We start from the raw sequence: 15,221 nt of genomic DNA, 5'->3' as shown, positions 1-15,221 counted from the left end.
TTAGGTTGTTGTTATAGTTTCACATACAGAAGTTTAGGTGCTGAAAAATTATTCTTTTTTAGAAATTTCTTTTTTCAATTGTTTGCTGTTCAGAGTTTCTCAGAGGTCCCCAGATGCATGTATATCAGTTAGAAGTAGGACAGGTATGGTGGCTAACACCTGTAATCCCAGCACTTTGGGAGGCAGAGGTGGGTGGATAACTTGAGCTCAGGAGTTTGAGACCAGCCTGGGTGATATGGCGAAACCCCATCTCTTAAAAAAAAATTAAAAAAAGATAGAAGTGAGTTGGCGCCAGTGATTTTTAAACCAGGCATACTTTTCTTGTATGATAAGTAGACTGTTGGTGACTCTTTTCCCAAAACAGACCAGTTAGATTTTGTTTTTTGGTTTTTTTTTGAGACCTGAAGCCTCACTCTGTCACCCAGGCTGGAGTGCAGTGGTGCGATCTTGGCTCACTGCAACCTCCGCCTCCCACGTTCAAGCAATTCTTGTGCCTCAGCCTCCCGAGTAACTGAGATTATGGGTGTGCGCCACCACACCTGGCTAATTTTTGTATTTTTAGTAGAGGCGGGGTTTCACCATGTTGGCCAGGCTGGTCTCAAACTCCTGACCTTGCAAGTGATGCGCCTGCCTCGGCCTTCCAAAGTGCTGGGATTACAGGTGTTAGCCACCACGCCTGGCCAGACCAGTTAGTTTTGTCTTCCTTGAAAATCTGTTAAGACAGATTAATCTCTCTCCTTGATAATTTGAACAAGTGTCACAGGAAACTTCTTAGTAGACAAGGTAATGTTTACCTCCTTGCCACTCACTTTGATGTTGTACAGATTTGAATAGACTTTTAACCCATAGTACCATCTTCCAGAAGTTTCATTTTGCTTACCTTTCACCATGCTTAGAATTTACATTCTCAAAAGAAAAAACAATTATAGTTACATGCTCTTTCTTACCTTTTGCTGGATTAACTGAGACCTGCAGGTATCCTACAGTGATGCTGATCTTCTAGCCCGTTAATTCTCAGACCTCTCAGATTCAGTGCCCTCTTCTTATAAGTATTTTGAAATACTCTCTTTAGTGAAATGAAATCCACAGGTAATACAGCTTTTCTACATATATGTGTGTGTGTGTATATATATATATATATATATATATTTTTTTTTTTTTTTTTTTTTTTTTTGTGAGACAGAATCTCTGTCAACCAGGCTGCAGTGCAGTGGCGTGATCTTGGCTCACTGTATCCTCTGCCTCCTGGGTGCTTCAAGCGATGCTCGTGCCTCAGCCTTCCAAGTAGCTGAGATTACAAGCGTGCATCACCACACCTGGCTAATTTTTTTGTATTATTATTTATTCTTTGTAGAGACAGGGTTTCACCATGTTGGCCAGGCTGGTCTCGAACTCCTGGCCTCAAGTGCGCCCACCTCGGCCTCCCAAAGTGCTGGGGTTATAGGCGTGAGCCACCACACCCGGCCCTACATATATAATTAAAAAAATTATCTTGCAGTAAGATAAAGGATAAATAGAAAATATTTCTGACAGATTAGCTTGACATGACAGCTACCTGAGTAGACTGCTATAAGGGTATTTGCAACTTAAATACCAGGAGAAGCAAACCAGTACAGTGAACAATTCTTTGCAAATGTACAAATAAAACTCAAGTACAACTTCTTTCTTCTTCTTCTTTTTTCTTTTTTTTTTTTTTTTTTTTGGTAGTGATGGGGTCTCACTTAGTTGCCCAGGCTGGTTTTGAGTTAGGCTCAAGCTGTCCTCCTCCTTGGCCTCCCAAAGTGCTGAGATTACAAACGTGAGCCACTGCATCTGCCCCAAAGTACAGTTTTCTCTTACTTTATTCAGCAGTTGCTTTTCTGGACATTTAGTGCATATTAAAATTATGGACTGGGCACGGTGGCTTACGCCTGTAATCCCAGCACTTTGGGATACCAAGGCGGTTGGATCACTTGAGCCCAGGAGTTGGAGACCAGCCTGGGCAACATGGTAAAACCCTGTCTCTACAAAAAATTTTTTTAAAAATTAGCCGGGCTTGGTGGCACGTGCCTGAAGTCCCAGCTACCTGGGAGGCTGAGGTGGGAGGATTACCTGAGCCCAAGAGGTCAAGGCTGTAGTGAACCGTGATCACACCGCTGCACTCCAGCCTGGGTGACAGAGTGAGACCCTGTCTCAAAAAAAAAATAAATAAATAAATAAAATTATGCAGAAGGACTTGGTGCTTATACGTAGAATGTAATTAGGTTCTAGGCTTTGGTAATTATACAGATTTTAAAAATCCAGTTAACTATTCATAAGGAAGTTTGAGAATAAAGACATTTTTTCTTTGTGCTGGACTTGCCTATGCTTTCCTGGCCTCTGCCAATTGAATGTCAGTAACACTTTTTTTTTTTTCTGCAACTTTTATTTTAAGTCCCGGGGCACATGTGCAGGATGTGCAGGTTTTGTTATGTAGGCAAACCTGTGCCATGGTGGTTGGCTGCACAGATCAACTCATCACGTAGCTATTAAGCCCAGCATCCATTAGATATTCTTCCTGAGGCTCCCTCAACAGGCCCCAGTGTGTGTTGTTCCCCACCATGTGTCCTCCTCATTTAGCCCCTACTTACAAATGAGAACGTGTGATGTGTGGTTTTCTGTTCCTATGTTAGTTTGCTGAGGATAACGGCTTCCAGCTCCATCCACATCCCTGCAAAGTAATCACTCGTCCTTTTTATGGCTGAATGGTATTCCATGGTGTATATGTACCACATTTTCTTTATCTAGTCTCTCACTGATGGGCATTTGGGTTTATTCCATGTCTTTGCTATTGTGAATAGTGAGAAGCACTTCTTAACTGCTGTGACAACCAAAGCACTTCCATAGATGTCCCAACTATCCCCTAGATGATTGTGTTGTCCTCATTAAGAATGACCTCTAGTCATACAGGAAAACATTTTTCTGTTTTATCATTCACTCTTCTTTTTTTTTTCTTGCTTATTATTCACTACTTTAGCACAGCCTTTTAGTCTAAAAGACAAAGATTTACTTGGCCTTTAGACAATTCCTATATGTCTTTAAATTTCTTATTTCCTCACCACTCTTATTATTGATGTTTTCTTTTCCATAAGTGTTAGGACAGTGCCTTGGTACATAGTAGATACTCAATTAGTATTTGTTGAATGAAGGAAACTTAACTGTAGGCTTTTTCTTCTTGCCACTTTCTGCTTTTTGTACCTGTTGAAAATGATGGAGGTACCAGTGTTCATAAAAACCTTGAAAACAGGCTGGGTGCAGTGGCTCATGCCTGTAATCCCAGCACTTTGGGAGGCCGAGGCAGGCAGATCACTCGAGGTCAGGAGTTCAAGACCAACCTGATCAACATGGTGAAACCCCGTCTGTACTAAAAATACAAAATTAGCCAGGTATGGTGGCGCATGCCTGTAATCCCAGCTACTCGGGAGGCTGATGCAGAAGAATTGCTTGAACCTGGAAGGTGGAGATTGCAGTGAGCCAAGATCGCACTACTGCACTCCAGCCTGGGCAACAAGAGTGAAAGTCTTGTCTCCAAAAAAAAAAAAAAAAAAAAATTAGCTGGGTCTGGGTGCAGTGGCGCACACCTATAATCTCAGCACTTTGGGAGGCTGAAGCGGGCAGATCACCTGAGGTCGGGAGTTTGAGACCAGCCAGCATAGTGAAATCTGCATCTACTAAAAGTACAAAAATTAGCTGGGTGTGGTGGCACATGCCTGTAATCCCAGCTACTTGGGAGGCTGAGGGAGGATAACCACTTGAACCCAGGAGGTGGAGGTTGCAGTGAGCTGAAATTGCACCACTGCACTCCAGCCTGGGCAACAGAGTGAGACTCTGTCTCAAAAAAAAAAAAAAAAAAAAATCCTTGAAAACAAAGCACAGACCTGTAGACTAATGACTAAAGGGTTGGCTCAAAGCAGCAGTTTGATGGACCACTTGCCATTAGTTAGTGGCCAGTAGAGTGGAGCCTCTTGTGGAATACGGCTTTATTTCTGCATATGAGAGCTTATAAGAAGAGGAGTCATCCCATAATTACATGCCTTTCAGATAAACAGCTGATGGGCTTTGTAGGCAGAGTTACTTTAATGAAGTCATTAATAGCTGAATTTGTTGAATGAAAGCTTCTTCTAGAGAATCTTTTCTAATTTAGGTACTACTGTGAGGTATTTTTGCTCTCAAACTTATTAAACTGTTGGTTCCCTGATTTTGAATTTATGGTGCCAGTTATTAGATCCTGATCTCTTAATATGGTCACTGCTAAATGTTTACAGGTATTAGCATACCTAGTTAAGACAAGTTAGGTTGGGGAACAGAAATTTTTATATCTTAGCCTCGTTGGTTTGAAAAAAAATTAGTTATTTGGATTGCTGATATAGTGCAAAAACTATTTATAATGGTACATTTACTTTCTGTTTAATAACATGTAAAAGGCAAACAGCAAATTAATTTTCACTGCTAGTCTTGATTTGTATGTTTTAGATTAAAGGGTTGTTGAAACTATAATAAAAAACCAAATAATGGTTGGGCAAAGGAGGACATGATTAGACATTTCTCAAAAGAAGGCATATAAATGGCCAACAGGTATATGAAACAGTGCTTAACATCACTAATCATCAGAGAAATGCAAACCAAAACCAGAATGAGATACCATTATACCCCAGTTAGAATGGCCATTATTAAAAAGACAAAAATAACAGATGCTGACCAGAATGTGGAAGAAAGGGAACTCTTAAACACTGTTGATGAGAATGTAAATTAGTATGGTCACTATGGAAAACAGAATGGATATATTTCAAAAAAAACTGAAAACTACCATACAATCCAGCAATCCCGCTACTGGGTAGTTATCCAGAGGAAAAGAAATCAGTATATCAAAGGGATACTTGCACTTCCATGTTCATTGTAGTACTATTCACAGCAGCAAAGACGGAATCAGAGTATCCATCAGTGGATGAATGGATAAAGAAAATGTGGTATATATATATATATGCAAGAGAATAGTGTTTGGCCATAAGAAAGAATCAAGTCGTGCCATTTGTAGCAACATGGATGGAACTGGAGGTTATTATGTTAAGTGAGATAAGCCAGGCACAGAAAGACAAATATTGCATATTCCCACTCATATGTGGGAGCTAAAAAAGTTGATTTCATGCAGGTAGAGAATGGAATGATATCTGAGGCTGGGAAGGGTGTGTGAAGGCAGAGGGGGTGAGGTATGTGGATAAAGAGAGGTTGATTAATGGGTATAAACATAAAATTAGATAGAAGGAATAAGTTCTGATGTTTGATAGCAGAGTAGAGTGACTAAAGTTAACAACAATGTATATTTCAAAATAGCTAGATGAGAGGATTTCAGATATTCCCAGCACATAGAAATGATAAATATTTAAGGTGATAGATGCCCTAAATGCCCTGACTTGATATGCATGTACCAAAATATCACATGTACCCCATGAATATTTACAGATATCTGTAGCAATAAAAAAGTGGTTGAAAGTAATATTAATAAGTGAGAATCATAAAAATGTTTAATTTGCTGAATTTTTCAACCTTAGTTTACTAATCTTTAAAATTGTTGGTTTATTATTCTCTATCAAGTGCAGGTGCTGATTGAATGGATAGGGAGAAGTTGTTTTAATATTATATTAGCATCCTATTTTAATATGCAATCAGTATTAGATGGACAGATTCAGAGTTCCTAAGGTTTTTAATAAGATTAGCAGTATAATATAGGTCTATCTCGTCCTGTAACACTAGTACTGTAAAAGGTTTCCAGAAGTATATCTATTTCTATTCCTGAGTGTGATTGATTCTGGATATTTTCTTTGAGGACACACACATATACTCTATTTGTGAAGTACAGCACTTCGAATTTAGTTTGTATTTGATAATAACATTAAAATAACAGGCACTAGATTATGCAACAGTAACAGCAGTCCATTTTTATTTATTCAGTAACTGTATTGGTACCTTCTATATTCCAGGAGCTGTTCTAGGTACTTGGGCTGTTGTCTTAGTCCATTTTGTGTTGCTTATAAAGGAATAACTGAAGCTGGGTAACTTAAAAGAGGTTTACGGCTGGGCGCAGTGGCGCGTACCTGTAATCCCAGCTGCTCAGGAGGCTGAGGCAGGAGAATTCTTGAACCCAGGAGGTGGAGGTTGCAGTGAGCCGAGATCCTGCCACTGCACTCCAGCCTGGGCGACAGAAAAAGACTCTGTCTCAACAAAAAATAAACAAAAGAAGTTTACTTAGCTCATTACTCTGCAGACAGTACAAGAAGCTTCGCACCAGCATCTGCTTCTGGTGGGACCTCAGGAAGCTTCCAGTCATAGTGGAAGGCCAAGGGGAAGCAGGTGTTCCGCAAGGCAAGAGAGAAAGGGGAGGGGTACCACACTCTTTTAAACAACCACATCACTCATTCCTGTAAGGACTGCACCAAGACATTCATGAGGGATCTGCGTCCATGACCTAAATACCTCCCACTAGGCCCTACCTCCAACATTGGGGATCAAATTTCAACATGAGATTTAGAGGGGACACATATCCAAACTATATCAGCTATATTCAGGAAGAAGTACGGAGATTAATAAAATGTTGAGAAAAATGGGTAGTAAAATCAGGATTTAAATATTTTCTTCTCCTTTTGGCTTTCTTTAAATTTAATATTTATTTATTTATTTATCTATTTTATTTTTTTGAGATGGAGTCTTCCTCTGTTGCCCAGGCTGGAGTGCAGTGGCACGATCTCAGCTCACTGAAACCTCTGCCTCCCGGGTTCAAGCGATTCTCCTGCTTCAGCTTCCTGAGCAGCTGGGATTACAGGTGTGGGCCACAATGCCCAGCTAATTTTTGTATTTTTAGTAGAGACGGGGTTTCACCCTGTTGGCCAGGCTGGTCTTGAACACCTGACCTCAAGTGATCCACCCGCCTCAGCTTCCCAAAGTGCTGGGATTATAGTCGTGAGCCACTGTGCCTGGACTTAAATTTAATATCTCATTTAAACATTAAATTAATGTAGCTATCTCTGGATTAGAGCAAATGCCTTTTTGCCCATTTCAGGTCTGAGATATTGTTGTTGTAAGAACTAACAACTAGCCCTCATTTTGCAACTGTTGTCAGCCCTTTTTATAGCTGATTTTATTTATTTTAATTAATTATATATAAATTGTATTCTAGTACTGTGGGAAAAAATGTTTTATTTTAGCTGTTAAATTATTGAACCTTTCAGGGTCTTCATTTTCCTTGTCTGTAAAATGAGATAGTTGTGTTTATTCCTGCTAGCTACGGTTTAGTGATTTGAGCTCTGGGGTATTTTTGGATTTTGTGTAAGGGAATTTTCTTCTGTAGTTTTTCCACATAGATCATGTGGTAGCCACTGACATACTAGGATTTAAATTTTACCCCTGAAATAATCTCCTTTATGAGTTACAAACTATTAGTGCATATTTTATCTTATAATGATGAACAGTCTTGAAAATGTTAGGATGGAGGACATAATGCAAAGCAATGTCAAAATTTTCCTTTTATAAATCAAACAAAGCAATAATGCTGGTAATGTTGACTGAATAAATTAAAACTTCATTTTTTTTTTTTTTGAAGACTTGGGATTCAGTAACAGGTAAACTTGGCCTGGATAATTTTTTTTTTAGAACTATTTTATAAATATTCTTTGTTTGCTTTGAGGTTGCATTTACATTGCTTTTGTTTTTAAAGTTGTATTCAGTTAATTAATTGTTTTCTTAATCCAATGGTCAGTGGCTACTGTTAACAACCAGTTTGTATGTGATCTTTCCTGACTTGAATGTTCCTGCTGTGAGTTGAATTAGATCATACTTGTGAAATTCTCCTATGTCATTGATGGCAAGTCAATGCTAGAATTCCAAGTATTACTTTTATTTCGATGAAGAGTTCTCAGTCAGAAGCTCTGATTGCTCTGTGGGTACATGGTAAAATAGTACTTTTTAAAATGAAATGGTGATGGTAGATGGTTTTTTTTTTAATATTTATACTTGGCAAAATAAAAAAGCTGGCAATCCTTGCAGGTTTCCAATTTTTTAATTTGAAAATTGAACTGCTTTATGGGAACCAAAAGTATGGAAATCAGTAGTCTAGATCAGTGTTTCTCAAACTGTGTGCCAGGAGATTTAATAGGAGTTCAGAATTATGGTAAAATATTGCATACCAAATTGTTGCCCTATCTCCATCCCTCCACTTCCCCTTTTATGACATGGAATGGCATATTAATGGTTCTGAAAAATCATTCATTAAAGCAGCATGTTTGATATTTAGTTCAGGCTTTTCTAAATCTAGTTTTTCTCCCCACCTTAACCACTGGTTAATATCCTGTGAAACGTGGTTTGAGAAATATTCCATATCCAAATCACTCAGAATAATTTATTAGAACCTACAGTTTGTTGAGAATTTAGTATATTCCCGGTACTATCTCATTTAGATGAAGTGAGCTACCCAGTGTCACACAACTGGTTGGTTATTCTGTGTTTCCAGTCTGATTGTGTGTGTGTGTGTGTGTGTGTGTGTGTGTGTGCATGCATGCATGCATTTAAGGTGGACAACATGATGTTTTGAAGTGCACATACATAGTTGAAATGATTACCAGTCCAGCTTTGTTTTGCTTCACATTCATTACTCTAACCACTTAGGCTGTTCTGAAGCATTGCTTAGTTCTCATTTCGAGGCTAAGTACCTAAGACTAGGATATTCAGAAGTTCATTTTATATGCCTTTTGACTTCCCTAACTACTAGAATATGGTTAAGGGAAGTATGATTTTATCAGAGCATATACTTTGTAGGTGATTTTAGTGACTTTTAATCCCAGGTTATTTTTCTTTCTACACAATGCTTGGAATGTAGAGCTTAGAATTTTTGCTGAGTGAATGAATGTTGTCACTTTGTCAAAGAAGATTCTGTCAGCCTAAGCTAAAAGCAAGAAAGTACATTTTACTTCTAAACTATTGTGGTACACATCAGAGCTAAACATCTATACTTTTTGGCTCATTTATCATTTTATATTTATGCCACTGGGTTGTTCCCTTTCTTGCTGCCTTTAGTGTGAGCAAGCCAAAAACACTATAAATCTTTTCTGCTATATTATGTTGTCTGAGGTTAATTAACATTTTCTCTGGTAATTCTTGTAGTCCTGTGTGTTTCTTCCTTAGAAAATTTGGCTTCTTGACCATCTGATCAAGCTTGTATCAAGTAACACTTTGTCTTGTGACCTGATTTTCTGCCTTGGTACACAATGAGCTAAAGAAGCTTGGTTGATTATGCACTCCTGTTTGGAATCTGTAATGTCAGTGTTCAATCATGGCCTGAATTAAGGAACAAAATGATAAAGGTGGCTGGGTGCGGTGGCTCACGCCTCTAATCCCAGCACTTTGGGAGGCTGAGGCAGGTGGATCACTTGAGGTCAGGAGTTCAACACCAGCCTGGCCAATGTGGTGAAACCCATCTCTACTAAAAATACAAAAATTAGCTGGGCATAATGGCGGGCACCTGTATTCCCACCTACTGGGAAGCTGAGGTGGGAGAATTGCTTCAGCCTGGGAGGCAGAGTTTGCAGTGAGCCAAGATCACGCCACTGCATTCCAGCCTGGGCAACAGAGTGAGACTCAGTCTCAAAATAAATAAATAAATAAAGGTTGTGAATGTGAATGTTACTATTCTTAGGGGGATGAAACCATAAATCAAGGTAGTTTTATTGGCCTGGAACTGAATCACAGCCCTTCAAACAGTATTTAAATTGTATAGGTATCCTTGTGTAACACTGAAACTGTGGCCTATTGTTTTCCTTTTTAGTAAACTGATTTTCTTTATTAATAGCCAAGTGAACAATTGCTTACAACTCCTTGAGCTCAGAGAACTAATTTCAAAATGTTTAGACTGGAAACTTTCTCTTTCTTGTAATGAATGAGAGGTATGTCTTCCTTAATTTCTTGAAGGAGAGTTGAGAGAAAGAAGTCAGTGAGGACAGTATTTGTACTCTAGAAAGAGATTTTCACAGAGACCTTGAGGATAATGGTGGAACTGGGAACAGAACTCAGAAGTTCTGTTGTCTTTGTTTTGGGGTTCACTTGATGCTTTTGAAAAGGGAGGAGGATGTATAACCTGGCTTGAAAAGGGAACCAGTCTCTTTGACCTAGTGACGAGACTTAGCATCAGAGTAAAAGTATAGTGGGTACTGGCCTAGGAGCTGTGATGTGTGGCAAACATTTTGTGTTCTTAATCCTTCTAATTAGAAATTTCTGACTGTCTTGCCATGTGATACTCAAAGAGAGTATAAACAATAGAATGTGACTAACTTAAAATTGTGGCTGTCAGACTAGACAGAAAATGGGCTTCTTTTTTTTGACACTTTAATCACCATTGGAACTTCTGTTTTAGATAAAATAAACACTTTAAGTTGATAACGAAGAGGTAGAAAAACATAGCTGTGAAATTAGGAAAAAAGTAGTAAGTCTTTATATTACATTTGATGTACTGAATAAGTATTGGATACAAACTTGTATAGGTTTCAAGAGTATTTAAATTTCACATTATGTGACCTGATATAAATAGGTCTGAATTTGTAGCTCCTTGTCCTCTAAGGTGTCACGTATTGTGATAACTAATCCTTTGAAATACGGGAGGCAAAAGAAATAATGCATTAAAACCACCCTTTTCCTTTCCTTCCTATATTTCTAGTGCTTTGTGTCCTCTTGGGCTGTTCTTTTAAGTGGGTAAGCATCAGGGCTAAGCTATGCTTAGGGAGTTGTTCTCGATTCAGAACCTGCCACTGAGTATCTTCACTAGAGTTGTTTACAGTAATCTTTTAGAGCCTAGGGGGAAAGCAGCTTAGTTTGGTGGAAACAGTTGGGTTCCTGTTTCCAGTGATTCTAGGTAAGTAACTTAGGTTTTTTGTTATGCTTTTCTTTTACAGATGGGATGATAGAAATGACTCGGCTGGGCGTGGTGGCTCACGCCTGTAATCCCAGCACTTTGGGAGGCTAACATGAGAGGATTGCTTGAGCTCAGGAGTTCGAGACTAGCTTGGGCAACATGGCAAAACTCCGTCTCTACAAAAAATATAAAAATTAGCTGGGCGTAATGGTATACACCTGTAGTCCCAGCTACTCGGGAGGCTGAGGTGGGAGAATCTCTGGAGCCTGGGAGGCAGAGGTTGCAGTGAGCCGAGATGGTGCCACTGCACTCCAGCCTGGGCAACAGAGCGAGACCCTGTCTCAGTTTAAAAAAAAAGAGAGAAATGAGTTACTGAATTAGAAATGAGTTACTGAAAAAGAGAGAAATGAGTTACTGAGGGGTAAGATTTTGTGACTGCATACATTGGAAATATTTTGGGGAGAGGTTTGTTGTGAAGACTTGACGTATTAATAGGTAAGCGTAGGATAGATTTCCATAGTGCCTGACATATAATTGGCATTTGATTATTATTCTTGATTTAGTGTTCCTCCCTTTAAAAGCATAGTTATTTTCTTTCTTTCTTTCTTTTTTTTTGACATGGAGTCTCACTCTTTCACTCACTGCAACCTCTGCCTCCTGGGTTCAAGCAATTCTCCTGCCTCAGCCTGCACAGTAGCTGGGATTACAGGCATGTGCCACCACGCCTGGCTAATTTTTGTATTTTTAGTAGAGACGGGGTTTTGCCATGTTGGGCCAGGCTCGAACTCCTGGCCTCAAGTGATCCTCCCTCCGTGGCCTTCCAAAGTGCTGAGATTATAGGCTGAGCCACTGTGCCTGGCCTAAAAGCATAGTTATTTTCAATCAGCATGGTATAATGAAAAGAAGATGGAATTTTGGATTCAAGAAAGACCAAGGTTTAAAGCTCCTTTTCTTTTTCTTTTTTTTTGAGACGGAGTCTTGCTGTGCGCTCTGCGCTGTGCCCAGGCTGGAGTGCGGTGTCGTAATCTTGGCTCACTGCAAGCCCTGCCTCTTGGGTTCATGCCATTCTCCTGCCTCAGCCTCTTGAGTAGCTGGGACTACAGGCTCCCAACACCACGCCCAGCTAATTTTTATGTATTTTTAGTAGAGATGGGGTTTCACCGTGTTAGCCAGGATGGTCTCGATCTCCTGACTTTGTGATCTGCCCGCCTTGGCCCTCCCAAAGTGCTGGGATTACAGGCATGAGCCACTGCGCCCGTCCTAAAGCTCCTTTTCATCCCTTGGGCAATGTTCTGATTTTCTATTATTGCCTAACAAGTCTATCCAAAATGTAGTGGCTTAATACAATAACTTATTATTATCTCTCATGTTTCTGTGGATTGACAGGGTTCAGCTGGACACTTCTCCCCTTAAGGTCTTTCATGTGGTTGTGGTCAGATAGTACCTGGAGATGGGGCCATCTGAAGACTCTGCCCTAGGCTGGATCCAAGATGGTGTTTTCCTTTTACTTGTCTGATGTCTCAGTGCTCTTTGAGATGGCCTCTTTATCCAGCAGAGTAGTCTAAACTTATGTGGCTGCTCAGGGTTCCAAGAGTTAGGAAGTAGAAGTTGCCAGGCAGTTAAGGGCTTTGGAACTGGCATAGTATTGTATCTATTAAAGAAGTCACAGGGCCTCCCAGATTCAAGGGGCTTGAGAAATAAACTGCATGTCTTTAAAGGGAGTGGGAAGGTCACATTGCAGAAGAATATATGGGCTGAGAGGTCTTATTGGGGCTGTCTCTGGAAGGCCATCTGGGCACAATTTTTTTTCATTTTCTTGTTTGTAAAATAGCAATAACAATATTTACCTCACAGAGTGGTTAAGTGGAATAGCACAGTGTCAAGCACATCATGTGTTTAGTAAATATAAGTAGACTTCCCCCCTTAATTCTCTAATGTAACAAATTACTTCTGATCTACTTTTATTTTAAATGGCCGCAAGTTTGCTCAGTATATGGTTTGGTTAACTGTTTCTTCACCCGACTATGTTTCTCAGACTGTTGTAACTTAAAACAAACTTTATCATGGAAAATTTCAAACACATCAAAGTAAAGAGAATACCACATTAACAGAATAAGGGACAAAAACTGCATCATCATCTCAATTCATGCAGAAAAAGCATTTGATAGATCCAGCATACTTTCATGATAAAAACACTCAACTAGGAATAGAAGGAAACTCAGCATATCAAAGTGTATTTATGAAAAGCCCACAGTGGCTGGGCCTGTTGGCTTATGCCTGTAATTCCAGCACTCTGGGAGGCCAAGGTGGGAGGATCACTTGAGTCCAGGAGTTTGAGACCAGCCTGGGCAACAAAGTGAGACCTAATCTCTGCAAAAAATAAACACAATTAGCCAGGCATGGTGATGTACGCCTATAGTCCTAGCTACTTGGGACGCTTTGGTGGGAGGATTGGTTGAGTCTGCAGTGAGCAAAGATCGTACCATATCACTTCAGAATGGGCAACAGAGCAAGACCCTTCCCACCCTCACCCACCCCCTCCCCCCAACAAAAAAAAGCCCACAGTGAACATCTCATTCAGTGGTGAAAGACCGAAAGCTTTCCCCCTAACATCAGGAACATGGCAAAGATGCCCATTCTTGCCACTGCTATTTCAACATAGTATTAAGAGTCCTGGCCAGAGCCAATTTAGGCAAGAAAAAGAAAAGCACCCAAATTAGAAAGGAAGAAGTAAAATTATCTCTGTTCACAGATGATATGATCTTATTTGTTGAAAACCCGGAAGCTGGCTGCAGTGGCTCATGCCTGTAATCCCAGCACTTTGGGAGGCCGAGGCAGGCGGATCACGAGGTCAAGAGATCGAGACCATCCTGGCCAACATGGTGAAACCCCGTCTTTACTAAAAATACAAAAATTAGCTGGGCATGATGGCAGGCATTTGTAGTCCCAGCTACTCGGGAGGCTGAGGCAGGAGATTTGCTTGAACCCAGGAGGCAGAGGTTGCAGTGAGCCGAGATTGCGCCACTGCACCCCAGCCTGGTGACAGAGCGACACTCCATCTAAAAAAAAAAAAAAAGAAAACCCTAAACATTCCACAAAAAACCCTGTTATAACTAATAAATGAATTCAGCAAAGTTGCAGGATACAAAATCAACACACAAAAATTAGTTATGTTTCCATACACAGTGAACAACTTGAAAAATTAAGAAAACAATTCCATTAACAGTAGCATCAGAAAGAATGAAAGTTAGGAATGACCCTAACCAAAGAAGTGAAAAATTTGAATATTAAAAACCGTAAAATACTGCTGAAAAGAATTAAAGAGCATACAAATAAATAGAAAGACATCCTGTGTTCATGGATTGGAAGACTTAATATTGTTAAGATATGAATTCTTCCCAAAGCGATCTACAGATTCAACAGAATACCTATCAAAATCCCAACAGCATTTTTTTTGCAAATAGAAGTTTCATCCCAAAATTAATTTGGAATCTCACGTTACCCCTAATAGCCAGAACAGTTTTCAAAAAGAAAAACAAAGCTGGAGGACTCAAACTTTCTGATTTCAAAATATATTACTAAGCTATGGTAATAAAACTAGTGTGGTACTGGCATAACAACAGACATATAGACAATGGAATAGAGACTCCAGAAATAAACCCTTGCATATGTGGTCAGATGATCTTGGACAGAGGTGCTAGGACCCCTCTGTGGAGCAAGGACAGTCTCTTCAGCAAACAGTGTTGGGAAAACTGGACTTTCACATACAAAACAAAAATTTGGACTCATATTTTACACTATATATAAAAATAAACTCAAAGTGGATTAAAGACCTAAATATAAGACCTAAAACTGTAAAACTCCTAAAAGAAAACTTAGAGGAAAGGCTTATAACTTAAAACTTAGAGGAAAGGCTTTATAACTTTGGATTTGGCAGTGATTTCTGGCATATGACACCATAAGCACAGGCAACAAAAGCAAAAATAGGCAAATGGGACTGCATCAAACTTAAAAACTTTGGTGCATCAATGAACACAATCAACTTGAAAAGGCAACCTGTGGAATGGGAGAAAATGTTTGTAAATTGTGTATCTGTTAAAGTATTAATATCCAGAATGTAGAAAGAACAACAACTCAACAACAAAAAATCAAATAAACAGATTAAAAAATAGGCAAATGACTTGAATAGTCATTTCTCCAAAGATGATAAACCAATGGTCAAGACACATTTGAAAAGATGTTCAACATCACTAATCATCAGAGAGATCCAAATCAAAACCACAATGAGATATCACCTCACATCCATTAGGAT

At 39.4% G+C, this 15,221-nt stretch overlaps 1 protein-coding gene across 3 annotated transcripts in view, besides 1 other annotated feature; it reads left to right on the top strand.

Annotated features, from left to right (window-relative positions):
- Nucleotides 1-15,221, top strand: part of RNF115 (ring finger protein 115) — an 85,228-nt gene that overhangs the window by 11,038 nt on the left and 58,969 nt on the right. The window lies entirely within an intron of this gene.
- Nucleotides 7,566-8,074: an enhancer, noted in NCBI's record as "NANOG hESC enhancer chr1:145629590-145630098 (GRCh37/hg19 assembly coordinates)". NCBI's record gives its function as "activates a minimal SCP1, AML or CMV promoter by ChIP-STARR-seq in naive H9 embryonic stem cells {active_cell/tissue: H9 hESC(naive)}" and the evidence as "EXISTENCE:reporter gene assay evidence [ECO:0000049][PMID:30033119]".

This window comes from Homo sapiens, chromosome 1 (genome assembly GCF_000001405.40).
Source record: "Homo sapiens chromosome 1, GRCh38.p14 Primary Assembly".
NCBI classification, from domain to species: domain Eukaryota; kingdom Metazoa; phylum Chordata; class Mammalia; order Primates; family Hominidae; genus Homo; species Homo sapiens.
Note: the sequence above shows the minus strand (reverse complement) of the source record. Positions and strands in the feature narration are given on the sequence as shown.